Source organism: Homo sapiens, chromosome 2 (genome assembly GCF_000001405.40).
Source record: "Homo sapiens chromosome 2, GRCh38.p14 Primary Assembly".
NCBI classification, from domain to species: domain Eukaryota; kingdom Metazoa; phylum Chordata; class Mammalia; order Primates; family Hominidae; genus Homo; species Homo sapiens.
The window spans coordinates 103,654,425-103,659,318 of record NC_000002.12 but is presented as its reverse complement, the minus strand read 5'-3'; the positions used below and the strand labels follow the sequence as shown (position 1 = coordinate 103,659,318).

Sequence of the window (4,894 nt, the reverse complement as noted above, 5' to 3'; positions counted from 1 at the left end):
TCTCTAATGTTAAAAACCTAGCCTTTCTCAAAATTGTGTTAATATAATAATTTTTTGTGATAAACATTAGCTTACTATGATGTTTTTTATATCTTGTCATTCCCTTGTAACTAACAATATTTTAATATTACAGTAAGCCTCTTCAGCATGAAACAGAATACTTACAATTAAATATATGTTCTAATGAATTGTAAACTCATTCAAGTTACATGTTTAAAATTTGGGGCTGGGCGCAGTGGTTCATGCCTGTATTATCCCAGCACTTTGGGAGGCTGAGGTGGGCAGATCACGAGGTCAGGAGTTGGAGACCAGCCTGACCAACATGGTGAAACCTCCTCTCTACTAGAAATACAAAAATTAGCCAGGCATGGTGATGAGTGCCTGTAATCCCAGCTACTCAGGAGGCTGAGGAAGGAGAATCACTTAAATCCAGGAGGTGGAGGTTGCAGTGAGCCCAGATCATGCCACTACACTCTAGCCTGGGCGACAGAGCAAGACTCTGTCTCAAAGAAAAAAAAAAAAAAAAAAAATTGGGTTATGTTAAGCTTTTAAACTCAACTTATAGATTTTCTTATTAAAGACAATTAAAATCTTAACATATAGTAATACTTGTAAATGTAAATCCAATCACTTTTTCTTGCACTTTTTACTAATTTTTGGATTACTTACATATTTTAGATATAATTTTTCTATTATTTAATGAGATTTCCAAATTTCATTAAGTATGTTCCCTTAGACATTACAAACCAAAATTTCAAGTTTCATAGACTTTATTTTTCTCTAGAAAATTTAATACGGCAGACTTACAAATCTAACACATTGAATCATTATAAGCATTTAACTCCTTTAAAAAAAGACATAAACATCTTAAGAATTTTAGATATGTTTAAAAATTTTAAAAATCAATTACAAATTTGTTACTATTCTACTTCTTTCTAAAATATATATTTATTATTTTATATAGCTCCCTGATATTACACATCTACTCAGATAATCAAGAAAAAACAAAGTTACCATTATCTGGAATATGGATATGCAAATCATCAAAAAGCACTATAAACTATTTTTTAAAGCCACAAACTTAACTCATTCTCAGCCATGTCTAAAATGACTCTACAACATCCAATGGATTTATATTTTAGTGACCTCATAGCCATAGTAAAATGTGACACATAGAGAAAAGAATTAGAATATACAGTTATGTCTTGTCCTTTGGTACATAAACATATTCACTGAAAACAAGAAACTACCCTTGACACTGAAATCACTATTCCACAATTCCTTTGCAAAATGTTGTATTAAACTCATTGTTTTTGCTACTCCATTACATACTCATTTCTCAACTAGTTTCATGCACTGAACTAAAACTGATATTCTAGAAGTATCAATGTCTATGGTAGTTAGAATGATGGCCAAAGATTATCATGTCCTTATCCTCAGTACCTGCTAATATGTTACCATTTATAGTGAAGCACTTAACTCCTTTAAAAATAAGACATAAACATCTTATGTCTTATGGGCATGGTGGTTCGTCCTTTAATATTATGTTTTATTATTATTTGTTTTAGGATGAGTTGAACCAACCATTGTTGAATAGAAATTAATCAGTTATTGATTAGATAGCTAATTAGGTAGTTATATTTCAGATGTGATTAATGTTATGGACTTTGAGATGGGCAAATTATTCTGGATTATCTGGATGCCTCCAGTATAACCTTAGTCCATAAGAGTGGAGAACCTTATGCAGCTATGGTTGGAAGAAAAGAGATGTGGCTGAATGTAGTGGCTCACACCTGTAATCCCATCATATTGGGAGGCCACAAAGGGATGGTCGCTTGAGTCCAGCCTGAGAAACAAAGTAAGACCTTGTCTTCAAAAACTGAAAAAAAATTAGCCAGGTGTGGTACTGGGTGTCTGTGGGCCCAGCTACTCAGCAGGCTAAGGCAGGAGGATTGCTTGAGCCCCAGGAGTTCGAGGCTGCAGTGAGCTGTGATGGCCACTGCACTCCAGCTTGGGCAACAAAGCAAGACCTTGTCTCAAATTAATTAATTAATTAAAAAATAAAAGAAAGAGATGGGATGATGAAGGTGAGTCAGAGGTATGCCATATTGTTGGCTTCAAACATGAAATGAGAGAGCCACTAGCCAAGGAATGCAGGTGGTTTCTAGGAACTGAAAAAGGTCAAGAAACGAATTCTTTCTAAGAGCATCCTGAAGGAAATGTAGCTCGGAAATATTTTGATTTTATCCCAGTGAGACAGCTGTCAGGCATCTGACCTAAAGAGTTGTAAGATCATAAGCTTGTATTGTTTTAAGCCACCAAATTTGTGAATAATTTGTTGTAGTAGCAATGTGAAACAAATAAAGTGACCTGTTAGCACCACATTCAATGAGTTAGGGGTTAGTTAAACTATTTTGTTACACCATATTATCCTATAATATCTTCCTCTGAACACTAATCATATTGTAATCTTTTGTTTGATTTATTATCCTTCTGTAAACTCCCAGAAGACACAAACTGCATCTTGCACAGAGATGTACTCAGGACCATGGACAGTACTCTCAAAAGTGTGTTACATGAAATCACTGTTTTTCAAGTCTTCATTGCAATCGACCTCTGAAGCATTTGATCTTTTTTAATTTAACTCCTCCATATATTTGAATGGCTACTATGCACAAATTTTAGTTGTTTAGGAGTTGCAAATTAGAGTAAAACATTCTGTCTCCAAGGCATTTGTAAATGTAGTAGTAGCGGGAACTCGATAGCTAATTAGGTAAATAGGTAAATTGATGGACTAGACCAGAAAAAATCTAATCAAGAACAACCATACGAAAAAGAAGAAAAGGTACCAAGTGAGGAAAATTGTATATTATATAATAAGTTACCTGGATCCAGGGAATATGAATAAAATTAAATCACTGAGCTAATTGTCTCAGATGAGGTGCCTTGCAATGGTGTATTTTGTATTTACACTACTAGTTTGTCTCATCACATGCTCAATGTACTTTCCACCCAAGGATGTAATAGTTCTATCTTTATTTTTCTTTCTTCATGTGTCTAAGCTTCCATAACTATGTATTAGTATTGATCCCTGGCCTGAAATTATATTTGAGGAAATTTTCTGTTTGGCTGGTTCCTGCTATTCTGTCCCTATTGCACATGCTTTAGTTCGAATGACACGCTTCTGCCTAGGTGATTTTTCCTTGATTTAATCTTGATTCTATAGCTATTTCCTTCACAGGACAGGAATTCTTTCTTTATCTAATCAGTCCTGATGAACCGATACTGAAAGAAAAACCTGGTTCCAATTAGTTATTAAAAAAAACACCTTTCAGATGCTGGCTGCATGTATAGATATAGTTTCATCTATGGCTCAGCCCTATGTATGCATTTTAGTAATGTTAAGATGTGCTGCCTAATACTTAGCTGGATATTAATTGGAACAAATCTGTTTTGTTTTCTCCCACCTCTTAGAAAGCTATTGCAGCGTATGGTACTGGACAGTTTCTTTGAACCTGTTATTTCTCAGATTCATTTTCAGTCCAAGATCCTCACGGCTGTCCTTAACTCCTATTCCAGCGTCAATAATAAAACAAATTGAACAGAACCTCATTGCAACACTTAGTTAATATATTGGTCTATGTATTTAAAACCACTTGCCAACTACTAATGCATCCATGGCTTATGATAAATACAAACCATACAATATTATGATCTTAACAGTAATGATTTCATAATACAATCCAACTACCATCCCAGTCTCATTGACTGCTTTTCCTACATTCCTGCCAGACTCTACTTGATCCCCTCTGAGGAAACCCTTGTTCTCTGTTTCAAAAATATTCTTCTCAGCTTCTTTCACCTCTCTCTCTCTTTACTTGTTGTAATAACATAACTTTTATAGTCTCTTCTTGAAGCTCTTCCATTCCTGTAGTTACCAACACTCCCTTTTCTGCACTCTCACTAGACTCCTTTCTGGAAAATATATTATGGGAAATGATATAAGTGTGTCCTATGGTTACTAGTGGAATATTTTCATTCCAGGCTGTCTAAGTTATATTGAAATGTTTTTCTCATGCCTTATCTTTTTGGCTGTGACAGGTAAAACTAAGTTTGGCTGTGAGCAACAAACAAAAAATAACTGTTTCTTCAATAAGACAGAAGTTAACTTGTCACTCTCGTACAAGTCCAGGAGTCAGTGGCATTGAGGAGGTAATGTTCCTCAATAGCAAGACTCTGGACCCTTCCTGAAAGGCTTTTCTAGGGCTGGCGTCTATTCTCAAGGTGAAGATTCTCAAGGTCATTCACCATGGCAGCTCCAATTCCAACTAGTAAGCCTGCAATCAGTCCGGCAGGAAAGAAAAAAGGGATGGTGACTTTGAAGGGCTTTCATACTTGAAGGATATTTCCTAGAAGTTGAAAATATTATTTGCATACTTCCCCTGACCAGAAAACTAAGTTATATTATTACTATAATAAAGATCATGCCTTTGTTTTTGTTGTTGCTGTTGTTGTTTGACCGCTGACAGTTTTTAAGCCTCACCCCTCTCTCTGTTTTCCCCTGGATAAGACGGAAAGAAAGCCTGGCTGCTCTCCCCTTTGGATCCAGTGGGAGGTTCAAAGGATAAAAGCCTCTGCCCACGCACAGGAAACCTACACCATAGAAACCCCAAGCAAGTCTGCGTACTGATCTCTCAAATGATTTTCTGACCTGTTCAGGAGCCACACTGCCCTGTCCAGAAAGCCTTATTATGTGAGTAACATCTTCTCACACACTATTGGAGTGTGTGTATGTGTGTGTGTGTGATCATCAGTTTCAACATATGAACCAAATTTTGGATGGGCTTTCATCCTGTTTCTGCTACTACCCAGAACGAAATACTAGAAAATGTAA

The 4,894-nt window shown here is 35.8% G+C and overlaps 1 annotated feature.

Annotated features, from left to right (window-relative positions):
- Positions 2,441–2,641: a silencer, noted in NCBI's record as "peak3805 fragment used in MPRA reporter construct". NCBI's record gives its function as "represses an SCP1 promoter by STARR-seq MPRAs in K562 erythroleukemia cells {active_cell/tissue: K562}" and the evidence as "EXISTENCE:reporter gene assay evidence [ECO:0000049][PMID:32103011]".